At 49.1% G+C, this 12,711-nt stretch overlaps 1 protein-coding gene across 5 annotated transcripts in view, besides 4 other annotated features; it reads right to left on the bottom strand.

Annotated features, from left to right (window-relative positions):
• Positions 2,185 to 2,684: an enhancer, noted in NCBI's record as "H3K4me1 hESC enhancer chr8:124186535-124187034 (GRCh37/hg19 assembly coordinates)". NCBI's record gives its function as "activates a minimal SCP1, AML or CMV promoter by ChIP-STARR-seq in primed H9 embryonic stem cells {active_cell/tissue: H9 hESC(primed)}" and the evidence as "EXISTENCE:reporter gene assay evidence [ECO:0000049][PMID:30033119]".
• Positions 9,028 to 10,757: a transcriptional cis regulatory region, noted in NCBI's record as "candidate enhancer chr8.2957 targeted for multiplex CRISPR interference". NCBI's record gives its function as "positively regulates FAM83A gene expression with high confidence in K562 cells {active_cell/tissue: K562}" and the evidence as "EXISTENCE:mutant phenotype evidence [ECO:0000015][PMID:30612741]".
• Positions 9,436 to 9,730: an enhancer, noted in NCBI's record as "tiled region #4427; K562 Activating DNase matched - State 5:Enh". NCBI's record gives its function as "activates a minimal TATA promoter and a strong SV40 promoter by Sharpr-MPRA in K562 cells {active_cell/tissue: K562}" and the evidence as "EXISTENCE:reporter gene assay evidence [ECO:0000049][PMID:27701403]".
• Positions 9,860 to 10,360: an enhancer, noted in NCBI's record as "H3K4me1 hESC enhancer chr8:124178859-124179359 (GRCh37/hg19 assembly coordinates)". NCBI's record gives its function as "activates a minimal SCP1, AML or CMV promoter by ChIP-STARR-seq in naive H9 embryonic stem cells {active_cell/tissue: H9 hESC(naive)}" and the evidence as "EXISTENCE:reporter gene assay evidence [ECO:0000049][PMID:30033119]".
• Positions 11,806 to 12,711, bottom strand: part of TBC1D31 (TBC1 domain family member 31) — a 92,467-nt gene continuing 91,561 nt past the window's right edge. For all 5 annotated transcript variants that reach the window (XM_011517379.3, NM_001363151.2, XM_047422429.1 and 2 more), the window contains one exon: positions 11,806 to 11,997. In XM_011517379.3, the coding sequence (XP_011515681.1) occupies positions 11,825 to 11,997 (173 nt within the window). In that variant the 3' untranslated portion in view covers positions 11,806 to 11,824. The remainder of the gene's footprint in view (positions 11,998 to 12,711) is intronic.

Below are 12,711 nucleotides of genomic sequence, written 5' to 3'. Positions count from 1 at the left end.
CAATGTGTGTACCTAGTGCCCAGGGCTTCTTGGAGAAATGGCCAATTTCAAGTCCAGAGCAGACAAAGTACAAAGTGATCATGGAGCATCTGATGCCAGAAAGCAGGAAGGAGTTCAAAGAGTGATGAGGCCATGTCAAAAAGACCTAGAAGCCAGCTTGAAGGGGTTCCCACTGGCTTACCTGGGACAATCTGAGCATGAAAATCATGGCCATAAAGGATTATAATGCATGAAATAAAGTAGGAAACCACAAGACCAGATTAATACAAATGAATACAGATTTTGAAAGTTTGAGAAGGAATGGGATAAAGTTTCAAATAAACTCCCTACAGGGCGTGGTGGCTCACACCTGTAATCCCAGAATTTGAGGAGGCCAAGGTGGGTGGATTGCTTGCGCTCAGGAGTTCGAGACCAGCCTGAGCAACAGGGCAAGACCTCGACTCTACCAAAAAAAAATTAGTGTGGTGGTGCGTGCCTGTAGTCCCAGCTACTTGGGCAGCTGGGGCAGGAGGATCACTTGAGCCCAGGAGGTCCAGGTTGCAGTGAGCCATCTTCGTGCAAGGCACTCCAGCCTGGGCAACAGAATGAGACCCTGTCTCAAAAAAATAAAATAAAATAAAAATAAACTCCCCATAAAATACTTGATAATTACAAAGGGGAACAAGAAACTTTACAACACAGACACTTATCAGACACCACCCTAATCAAGTGATCAAAGTGACCCTCATCAAAAAGGGACAAACTGAAATCTTGAGCCACCTGAGAGGATGCAACAAGATGACAGAATCGCTTCTGTGATGTTCCTGGCAAAGATACATGATCAGAATAGAATTAGGAGGAAATATCAGACAAAGCCAAATGCGAGGACATCCTACAAAGTAACTGCCCTCTCATCTCAGAGCTATCAAAGCCATTATCTTAGGGAGGTCTGGGGAACTGCTCCATATTGAAGGAGACTAAAGAGCTCTGATAACTAAATGTAACGTGTGATTCTGCACTGGATTCTTTTGCTACGAAAGACATATTGGGACAGTTGGCAGAACTTGTAGGGGACCTGAGGATTAAAGGGCAGCAATTTATCACTGTTGATTTCCCAATATAGATGGTTGATTTGTAGTTTGTAAGAGAGAATCCTAGCTTGTAGGAAACACACAAAAAATAATAGGGATGATGGCACATTCTGTCGGCAGCTTTCTCTCAATGGTTCAAAAGAAAGGAAATGGCTGGGCGCAGTGGCTCATACGTGTAATCCCAACACTTTGGGAGGCTTGGGCCAGGAGTTCCAGACCAGCCTGGTAATATAGTGAAACCCTCATATCTACAATTTCTTTTTAAATTAACCAGGTGTGGTGGTGCATGCACCTGTAGTCCCAGCAACTTGGGAGGCTGAAGTGGGAGGACTGCTTGAGTCGTGGAGGGTGAGGCTGCAGAGAGCCATGATCACACCACCACCCTCCAGCCTGGGTGGTAGAGTGAGACCCTGCTCAAAAAAAAGAAACAAGACCCTGTCTCAAAAAGAAGAAGAAGAAGAAAAAGAAATAGGAGGAGGAGGAGGAGAAGGAGAAAGGAAATACTTTGTATTGGTTTTGCACTGCTTCAATAAGCTTTTGATTTAAAAAAATGTTTTTAGGCCGGGCGCAGTGGCTCACACCTGTAATCCCAGCACTTTGGGAGGCCGAGACGGGCAGATCACGAGGTCAGGAGATCGAGACCATCCTGGCTAATACGGTGAAACTCCGTCTCTACTAAAAATACAAAAAATTAGCCAGGTGTGGTGGCGGGCGCCTGTAGTCCAGCTACTCGGGAGGCTGAGGCAGGAGAATGGCGTGAACCCGGGAGGCAGAGCTCGCAGTGAGCCGAGATCGTGCCACTGCACTCCAGCCTGGGGAACAGAGCAAGACTCCGTCTCAAAAAAAAAAATGTTTTTTAGGTCATCCCATGAGAAGGAAACAATCAGAAAAATCCAGAACATGGGACAATCTACAAGACAACGGGCAGGGCGGGTAGAAAGGGCAGCAGCAGGGACGGATAGTCCTGTTGCATATACTCTGCATCCTGGCGCAGCCCGGTAATGTTTTTCTAGATGAGGAAACTGAGGCACAGGGAGGTTAAGTAAATTCCTTAAGGGCCCCATGACAGAGCCTGGATTGCGTTTGTCTGTAACTGCTGGTTTAAGCGGGAATCTCCTCCTTTAGGCTGTGAGCAATTTGGGGTGGGGGTGGGGTCAGGCATGACTTAGCTTCTTGGAACTCCAAGTGCCTATCCCAGTTTGGGGCTGGCACGTCGAAGGCACCGAATGAGCACTTAGGTGAATAGACAGCAAAAAGCTCCTGAATCACAGGCCAGCTCACGCGGATAGAATGCACACAAATAGGACTCCAGAGCTTGTCCACGGGGCAGGAGTCAGGCCAGGGACACAGCGACGTGGAGGAACAGGGTGCCTGTTTGACCTCCAGGAGCAGCTGCCACCCTCTCCTGCCACTTCCTCATCAAGGCCTGCAGCAGCATGAAAATCATACAGTCTCCTTACCCAATGACCCGAGAAGTGCAGTTAAGTTGAAAATTAGTTGGCATAATTAATTAGACGGGTAAATAGCTCCCTGTCAACATCAATCAATCCATTCTGCCTAAAATCAGCTCAGCGAAGGCAGGCCAAGGAGCCCCTGCAGCGCTGGCCTCTGCTGGCAGGCAAGGTCAGAGAGTGGCAGCTGGAACAGGCCAGGGTGTCCTGCCGGGCACCCTAGACCCCACTCCCCCATCCACAGGTCCTTTACAGTTGCTTTTTTTTTTTTTTTTTCTTTTTTGAGACAGAGTCTCACTCTGTTGCCCAGGCTGGAGTGCAGTGGCACAATCTAGGCTCACTGAAGCCTCCGCCTACCAGGTTCAAGTGATTCTCCTGCCTCAGCCTCCTGAGTAGCTGGGATTACAGACACATGCCACCATGCCCGGCTAATTTTTGTATTTTTAGTTGAGACGGGGTTTCACCATGTTGGCCGGGCTGGGCTCGAACTCCTGACCTCCAGTGATCTGCCCACATCGGCCTCCCAAAGTGCTGGGATTACAGGCATGAGCCACCACACCTGGCCTTACAGTTGCTTTTCATGGGAGCCGTGTCTCTGCAGGGTTGTCCTCAGCGATTCCATCTTCAGCATCTGGCAAAAGCACTGCTCCATTCCCAGAGAGCCACAGCTGCAAATGCCTTTGCCCTCTGGAGTTTCCCAGTTCAGAGTCCCCATTCCATTGCTCAGAATTTCCGACATGCATAAAAACCGTGGGACCTCTGATGGTTGGTTAGGACATTGCAGAAACTTAAATCAAAGTATAACTTATTAGCAATAAAATGTACCCTTGTTAGTGTACAGCTCTCTGAGTTTTGAGAAACACATACAGTCGTGTAACCACCACCATGGTCGAGATACAGAATATGGCGGGGCATGGTGGCTCATGCCTGTAATCCCAGCACTTTGGGAGGCTCAGGCAGGCAGATCACCTGAGGTTAGGAGTTCGAGACCAGCCTGACCAACATGGTGAAGCCCCGTCTTTACTAAAAATACAAAAAATTAGCTGGGTGTGGTGGCGCATGTCTGTAATCCCAGCTACTGAGGAGGCTGAGGCAGGAGAATCGCTTGAACCCGGGAGGTGGAGGTGGCAGTAAGCAGAGATTGTGCCGCTGCACTCCAGCCTGGGCGATAGAGCAAGACTCCGTCTCAGGAAAAAAAAAAAAGATTGTTAGCATTCATGTTTACATTGTGCAATGACATTTTAAATGCAAATATCAGAGTGTTTAACTTGTACATGGAATTACTGAAATTACACAACCCATATTTTGTTTGTACATGCATATGTATTTCATTCTTACCAGAAAGTAGAAATGCTTCACAAAATGAGCTCAACTATTTTTATTTCACTTCTTGATATGCACACATTCTACCAACACTCTCTACCTTTGGCTTACTGATGAATAAGAACGGCAGAGCAGAAAAGAAACTTTGGGTTGCCTTATCTTTTTAATTTTTTTTGAGACAGAGTCTTGCTCTGTCACCCAGGCTGGAGTGCAGTGGCATGACCTCGGCTCACTGCAACCTCCACCTCCTGGGTTCAAGCGATTCTCCTGCCTCAGCCTCCCGAGTAGCTGGGATTACAAGCACAAGCCACCACACCCAGCTAAATTTTGTATTTTCAGTAGAGATGGGATTTCACCATGTTGGCCAGGCTGGTCTTGAACTCCTGACCTCAGGTGATCTGTCTGCCTCGGCCTCCCAAAGTGCTGGGATTACAGGCGTGAGCCACCAGGCCTGGCAGCCTTATCTTTCTTGGTCTTTCTGTGTCATCATTTTGAGTGTAACCTGGTTGGTCAGTGTGAGGAAACAACACAAGTAAGAAAGCATATGGTAGAATTCCTTGGTCATTTATGTTTCTTGGAACGCCATTGCCTTTTTTCTGCATTTAGGCAAGTTGCGGTTTGAACAGAAAGTGTGGCTTCTCAGCTCTGTCACACCCACTGAGTCACAGAGGTAGAACACTTACCTTGTGCTCACTTTGAGTCTCGCTGACCTCCCATGCATCATGGGTCTCCTGGAATTAAGTGCTCACAGGACAATGTGAATGCTATATGGGGATGGGTCAGCAAGGGACTCTAGATGCCCGAGTTCACTTATCCTTCTGTTCACACCAGCATCAGACCTCACTTATGAAATCCAAGTTCAATGATCAAATCATCGAGAATTTTGAGACATTTGCAACAGAGTATTAAACCAAGTGTGGGGTCCTTCTGAATGTGGGGCCTGTGGGACTGCACACATGAAGCCAGCCTTGGGTGACAGCATAAGGAAATTAGTTTTCTCACATTGCATTATTTGTGAAACCAAATTAAAATATTTTTTGTAATATAAAAATATTAAATCCCCGAAGTCCCATCTAGTTGCATCATTTGGGGAGTTTTTTGTGTTTATCTATCTAACTTGTGCCTTGTCTCTCTGGTGAAATTGTCTCTTTTTCTAGAACGAAGATAATAACTTCTGCTCTTTCATATCCAGCATAGCACCTGGCCGAGACCAGAGGACCCAGTTCAGAAGCTCAGGAATTCAGAAGGGACTAACTGCTTTTTGGGGAAGTCCACTAAAGGAAGACCGTTTCTTCACCCACAGCAAACTTCTGACACCAAAAGTGTGGGTTTTTCCACACCCAGCAATTATCCAGTTCTCTGCAGAGACCAGCTGGATGTCCTGCAATTTACTTTTATTTTTGAGATAGAGTCTCACTCTGCCACCCAGGCTGGAGTGCAATGGTGTAATCTTGGCTCGCTGCAGCCTCTGCCTCCTGGCTTCAAGTGATTCTCCTGCCTCAGCCTCCAGAGTAGCTGGGACTACAGGTGCCCACCACCAAGCCTGGCTGAGTTTTTACATTTTTAGTAGAGACAGTGTTTCAATATGTTGGCCAGGCTGGTCTTGAACTCCTGACCTCAGGGGATCCACCCACCTCAGCCTCCTAAAGTGCTGGGATTACAGGCATGAGCCACGGCACCCAGACGTGTCCTGCCATTTAATTCAACTCTGACACTAAGTACCTGGACTTAGCACAGACCCCACAGGTTAAGGGCTCAGTCCAACAAGACCACTCCCACTTCGGATGCCAGCTGCAAGCAGTGGGGCCTCAGGTTTTCCCACATTTCTGTCTGGCTTGGCTACAAATCAGGAGTTCCCACAATCCTCTCTTCTCATTTGGTCGCTTGCTATAATGGCTCACAGAACTCAAGGAAACACTTTACTTATGCTTACTAGATTATCATAAGGGATATAAATGAACTGTCCGATGAAAAGGTACAAAGGGTGAGGTGCAGAAGGGTCCCACCCACAGGAGTTTCTGCCCCTGTGGAGCTGGGGTGCACCCTATTCCTCGAATATGGATGTGTTTACCAACTGGGTTTAGGGTTTTTGTGGAGCCTCTGTCCTCCCCAGAGGGTAGGGGTAGGAACTGAAAGTTCCAGCTATCTAATCATGTCTTGATCTTTCTCATGACCAGCTCCCATTCTGAAGCTATCTAGGGGCCCCCAGCCACCAGTCATCTTACTTTCATCAAAAAGGTACCCTTGTCACTCTGGAGATTCCTAGGGTCTTAGAAGCTCTTGTATCAGGAACGGAGGACTAAGACCAAATATTACAACAAAAGGTACTCCTATCACCCCTGTCACTCAGGAAATTCCAGGGTTTCAGGAGCTCTGTGCTGGGAAGTGGAAACAAAGACCAAATATGTCTTTCTTATTGTATCACAACGTCTCACACACACTGTACTGGAATAAGCTCCCAGAGCCACCCTAGCTTTGTCTGGGTGCTGGGTGGGGAGCAATAGCACTGAAGCCCCCTGCACCACACACACACATACAGCTGTGAGTGGGGGCGAGGAAAGGTTGAAGATGTCAGACGGCACAGGAAGGAATGTATAAGGAGCTCATCCCAACGCCATCTCGTTAACAACTTAGAGATGATTCTCATGAATAGTAAATAGTTCAGGCCATCAAACAGTCAGAACCTGCCCAAAGTGGCCCTCAGGCTGGCAGGGGTAATCAGAAGGCCTGTCCCTCCAAGCTGGGCTGGGAAACCCTTCTTCCATAGGACTCCATTGTGTCTCCTTTCCTTGAAAATAACACTACTGGCGTTTGCACTTTGTTTTGTAAATATTACATGTTCATTGTAAAAATTTGGGAAAAACAGACAAGCAAAAACAAATAAAATAAAAATTTTAAAAAGCAACAGAACATCTTTCATAGCTGCACCACTGGACATCAAAATAGTTAGGCTGGGTGTGGTGGCTCACGCCTGTAATCCCAGCATTTTGGGAGGCTGAGGTGGGCAGATCACCTGAGGTTGGGAATTTGAGACCAGCCTGACCAACATGGAGAAACCCTGTCTCTACTAAGAAATACAAAATTAGCCAGGCGTGGTGGTTCGTGCCTGTAATCCCAGCTACTTGGGAGGCTGAGGCAAGAGAATTGCTTGAACCTGGGTGGCAGAGGTTGTGGTGAGCCGAGATCGCGCCATTGCACTCCAGCCTCGGCAACAAGAGCAAAATTTCGTCTCGGAAAAAAAAAAAAACAAAAACAGGCCAGGTGCAGTGGCTCACGCCTGTAATCCCAGCAGTTTGGGAGGCCGAGGCGGGTGGATCACGAGGTCAGGAGATCGAGACCATCCTGGCTAACACGGTGAACCCCGTCTCTAATAGAAATACAAAAAATTAGCTGGGCCTGGTGGCGGGCGCCTGTAGTCCCAGCTACTCGGGAGGCTGAGGCAGGAGAATGGCGTGAACCTGGGAGGCAGAGCTTGCAGTGAGCCGAGATCGTGCCATTGCACTCCAGCCTGGGCGAAAGAGCGAGACTCCGTCTCAAACAACAACAACAACAACAAAAACCTGTTACCATTTTGCTGTGTGTTGCAGCAACAGTGTAGATTAGATACCTTGGGGTTCCCTGCAACCTCCCTCGAGGGTTCTCTTCCAAGGCATCTGAGAAGCTCAAAATGTCTTTTCCCTGGTGGGGTACCGTGGCTGATGCCTGTATTCCCAGCACTTTGGGAGGCTGAGACAGGTGGATCACCTGAGGTCAGGAGTTCAAGACTAGCCTGGCTAACATGGTGAAACCCCGTCTCTACTAAATATACAAAAATTAGCTGGGCGTGGTGATGCATGCCTGTAATCTCGTCTACTGGGGAGGCTGAGTCAGGAGAATTGCTTGGACCTGGGAGGCGGAGGTTGCAGTGAGCCAAGATCGCACCGTTGCATTCCAGCCTGGGCCACAGAGCAAGACTCCATTAAAAAAAAAAAAAAAAAGCCTTTTCCCAGCCCTCCCCAAAGCCAGAGCTCTTCTACGGACCTGGGTCTGACAAGCAGGAGCATCCCCGCATGACTTGGAAGGCATACATGAGCCATCTGAGCAGGTCACATGCAGGTATTGGTTCTTCTTCAGCAGCTTAGACAGGAGCAAGTGCTGGTGCCAGGCCGTGTGTCAGAGGGGGAGGTGAGAGTCGAAGCAGGGAGGTCCCATGGTGTGGCTGGGCCTCCTCCTGGCTGGGTTGTCCTTGTTTTGTGGCATCCAAGCATGGTTCCCTGATCCTCCTGGAAATTCTGTAATGAATTAACACTCTGTAACAAATCCCTTTCTGCTTAGCTAGCTAGAGTGGATTCTGTTGTCTGCAACAAAGAACTTATTCATTAGGCTTCAGCTTAACTCTCATCACCTCCTTCACAGCACTTACCATAATGTGGAATTAGCTCATTTATGTATTTGTTTACCTACATAATGTCTCTTAATGAGGGAGGAACCATGTCTGTCTTGTTCACCAGTTTAATCCCAGTGGCTGTCTCATAGCTTCACTTCATCAATGTCTGTTGAGTGAAACATCTGGTCACCTTCCAGCAGCCTCTGTCCCAAGGGAGAACAGAATACCAGCTTCAGCCCCTTCTGTGGACCAAGTGGGTTGTATTCCTTTTATGTGTACTGTACAACCTCTCGCCACCCTCATTGCCAACTCTTGCCGACTGCCTCTTTTTGCAGAGAAAGGCAATGTTCTATAACAGGGGTGTCCAATCTTTTGGCTGCCCTGGGCCACACTGGAAGAAGGAGAATTGTCTTGGGACACACATAAAATACACTGACACTAACAATAGCTGATGAGCTAAAAAAAGAAAAAAAAAAAAGGGTCCGTGCATAAATCTCATAATGTTTTAATAAAGTTTATGAATTTGTGTTGGGCAGCATTCAAAGCTGTCCTGGGCTGCATGCAGTCCTCAGGCCACGGGTTGGACAAACTTGCTCTAGAAGATTCTGGTTTACACCCCTCTTTGGCTCTAGTCACTTGCAAATTGTAAGGATGAATCAACTCACTGTGACCAATTCCCTGCTTCCCTTCAATAAGAAAAGACCTGCTCTCTCTCTCTCTCTCTCTCTCTCTCTCTCTCTCTCTCTCTCTCTGTGTGTGTGTGTGTGTGTGTGTGTGAAGTGGGGGCAGATGTTTGAATATTAAAAGGCCGATGGACTTATATCATGCATTCACTTATAAACTTATATCATGCATTCATTCCACACTCAGTGAGTGCCTACTGTGTATGTATGTGGGGGTTGCTGGAGTCCTGGTTCTGGGACCCCCAGATCAATCCCTTTTGGGGGCCTGGACCTCCCAGTAAATGCCACTTTGTAATCAGACTTTCTCCCTTGGGCCATCGAGCTGTCATCTAAAGTAGTGAAACCTCTAAGCCTTAAACTATGAGCCAGATGATGCAACTGCCACAATCCAATTGTGCAATTTCAGGCACAAACGCTATGTTTGAGATATAGGCTCAGGGATAGATTTTCGTGATATGATTTCAAAGGCTTGGTACTCAGACAGCCCAGTCCCTGTGTGCCTGGCTCCTGGAGATAAGAACCATGAGACCCAGTAGCCTTGTGAAGGAGGGGGCCTCATGGCTCTGTGTTCTCATGGCTCTGGCCTGGGGTGATGGGGACACATACTATTACCCCGTTGCTGTTATACCTGTTGGAACTGTGGGCAGAACCACTGTGTTGTTCTAGGCCTGAACTTGGAAGGAGCAGGCCCACAGTTCCTTGGGGCCCCAGGGCTGCTGGGAACACACCCACTCCGACTTATCTCATCTGTCAGTAGGTGAGTCAGAAGGTGTCAGAAGGGCCCTGTGAGGTGAGTCCTGTCACTCTTTCCTCTCCTCTGGCTAGGGGGCCTCGCTGTCTCCCCACCAAGTATACTGAGAGAGGGCAATGGCCTTAGAGCCCACTCTGGGCCAGTCCATGGAAAGGTTTACTCAGTTACAGAAATCAGAGCCTGCACGCCTTTGGAACTAGAAAATAAGTCTGATCAGACTAAAACCTGGGGATGCAGAAATGAATCAACAACAGTCCCTGCCTTCAAGAAAAGCTGAGCCATTACAGTGCAGGGTGGAAAATGTTGCATGCAGTCATCAAACACACAAATGCTCGAGGGCCCACCATGGGCTCTGCACAGTGGGTACCGCATGGCCCCTGCTGTGTGCCTGGTGCTTGTGATCCGGTGGGAACGGCAGTAACTGAGAAATCATGGCACCGCACGGTGATGAGGCTAAGGTCTGGGGAGTACAGGGCTGGGAGGGTGAGCAGCAGGGAGCCAGCTCAGGAGGCCTCTCTGTGGCCACAGAGGAGAGCAGCAGGACAGTCATCAGCCGGGTGGGTGGGGTGGAGGGAATGGGGATTCCGTGGGGTATGGGGTGGGGGAGGAGTGGGAAGAGATGGGCTGGGAGGTGAGCCCGCAAGGGCACGTGGGCACCCTGGCTTCGATGTCATGGTCAGCGGGAGCTTCCGAGGCTGTTCAGCAGGACACGTTAGCTTTTATGACGGCTCCCTCTGGCCACAGTGTGGGGACAATGGAGCCCCTCTGGGAGCATCTGGGCCTGCAGGGGCGAGGCCTTCCTTCTTCTTCTGGGTCCTCTGTCAGCACCACGCAGAGCGATGGCTCTCAGACCCGTCCAGCAACAACAGGCTGACTCACACCTCGCCGGCCACTTGTTGAGTAGGAAGTTGAGCTGGGAGGACCATGGCCTTCCGCTCCCCTGCACAGATGGCAAAAGAACTGCTGGCTGCTTCCTGCAGGGCACGTCTGGAGAAAACCCTGCTCCCTGCTCTGTACATCCAGGCTCCCTGGGCCTCCCTCAGCTTGCCCAGCTGGCTTGTCACAGCCAGAATGAGGAGCTGAGACACTTGGGCTTACCGCCAAGTCCTGCCATGTCACCAAGGCCTACGGGGAAAAGGCCAGACCCGGGAAACCTTCGCTGCTTCCCAAAGCTCCACAGGAGAACTGAAACCCACCACAGGCCCTTCCTCCCCAGCCCCCTCCCGGCCCTGATAATCCTTCCCCTCACCCAGCCCCCGACTCCCTCTGTATCTTTATTATTTTTATTATTTTATTTTATTTTAATTTATTATTTTTAGTTTTGGAGATGGGGTCTTGCTGTGTCGCCCAGCCTAGAGTGCAGTGTCGTGATCTCGGCTCACTGCAACCTCTGCCTCCCGAGTTCAGGCAATTCTCCTGCCTCAGCCTCCTGAGTAGCTGGGACCAGAGGCGCACGCTGCCACGCCCAGCTAATTTTTTGTATTTTTAGTAGAGACGGGGTTTCACCGTGTTGCCCAGGCTGGTTTCGAACTCTTGAGCTCAGGCAATCCGCCCGCCTTGGCCTCCCAAGGTGCTGGGATTACAGGTGTGAGCCACCGCGCCCGGCTATTATTTTAAGCAGAGAGAACTGGAAAGGAGAGGGGAGTCATGGTGTGCATAGATTCTGGAGCCAACTCACCCTGACGTCCCTCCAGCTGGAGCAGCCCCTGCAGAGAACTGTTTCAAGAAAGCCAGGCTGTGGCTGTGGCCAGGCCAGATGCAGCCCACAGTCCAGCTGTGACCCCTGCCAAGCAGATGGAGACAGTGACCTGTGGCGGGGTGGGATGGAAGTGCAGGAAGAGGCCGGGAGTGAAAAGCGAAGCCCCAGCTCCTGATGCCTGTGAATGCCCTGGCTCGGCTTAGGCCATTCTCGGGGCTTCCGGTCCTCACCCTCAGGGAGACGGAAAATTATTCTGGGTTCCCTGGGGTGAAAGAGCAAACCTGCCGAATCTAGGACAGCACAGATTTTTTGGCTGTCCACAAGCTCCGTAGACATTTGTTATCAAATACATGCATAAGATGTTCACTTAGTATTTGTTACTAATTGGGAAGAATGAGATGTTCTAGAATTAGAAGACCTAGGGCTGCTAGGGCTAACATAACAAAAATGCTACAGCCTGGGTGGCTTAAACAACAGAAATTTATTCCTGCACAATGCTGGAGGCTAGGTTGAAGGTGTTGACAGGATTGGTTTCTTCTGCATTCTCTCTCCTTGGCTTGTAGATGGCCGCCTTCCTCCTGGGTCTCCTTATCATCTTCTCTCTGTGTGTATCTGTATCCAGATCTCCTCTCCTCAGAGACACTACTGCAGTTACTAAGAACAGGGAAGATATCTATGTATTGGCAAGGAAAGAGGTCCAGCTTACTGTTAAGTGGAAAATGTCACAGAACAATAAGTACCATATGATCTTACATAGATACCTAAAACCCAAGTGTTTATTTTTATGTTTGTGTGTAGGAAGACCACTCACAGGGCTTCCCTATGGAAGGGGAACAGTATTAGGAGTGACTTGAGGGGACTTGACTTGTGTACATCTATATGTGTGGCACATTGGATTATTCTTTTTTTTTTTTGAGATGGAGTCTCGCTCTGTTGCCCAGGCTGCAGTACACTGGCGCTATCTCAGCTCACTGCAACCTCCACCTCCCGGGTTCAAGAGATTCTCCTGTCTCAGCCTCCTGAGTAGCTAGGATTACAGGCACATGCCACCATGTCCAGCTAATTTTTGTATTTTTAGTAGAGGTGGGGTTTCACCACCTTGGCCAGGCTGATCTCGAACTCCTGACCTCAAACTATCTGCCAACCTCAGCCTCCTGAAGTGCTGGGATTACAGATGTGAGCCACTGCGCCTGGCCTGGATTATTCTTCATTCTTTTTCCTTTCCTTTGGCCTGAGACTCTGCACCCTCTGCCACAGTAAGCTGAGTATTTTTCCCTGCCCCAGTAATGTTGAACTTGGCCATGTGACTTGCTTGGGCCAAGGGAGTTTTGATGTATATACCCAGAGCAGGGGCCTTAAATGTGCCTC

This window comes from Homo sapiens, chromosome 8 (genome assembly GCF_000001405.40).
Source record: "Homo sapiens chromosome 8, GRCh38.p14 Primary Assembly".
NCBI classification, from domain to species: Eukaryota; Metazoa; Chordata; class Mammalia; order Primates; family Hominidae; genus Homo; species Homo sapiens.
The sequence above is the reverse complement of the archived record's forward strand: the minus strand, read 5'-3'. Positions and strand labels throughout refer to the sequence as shown.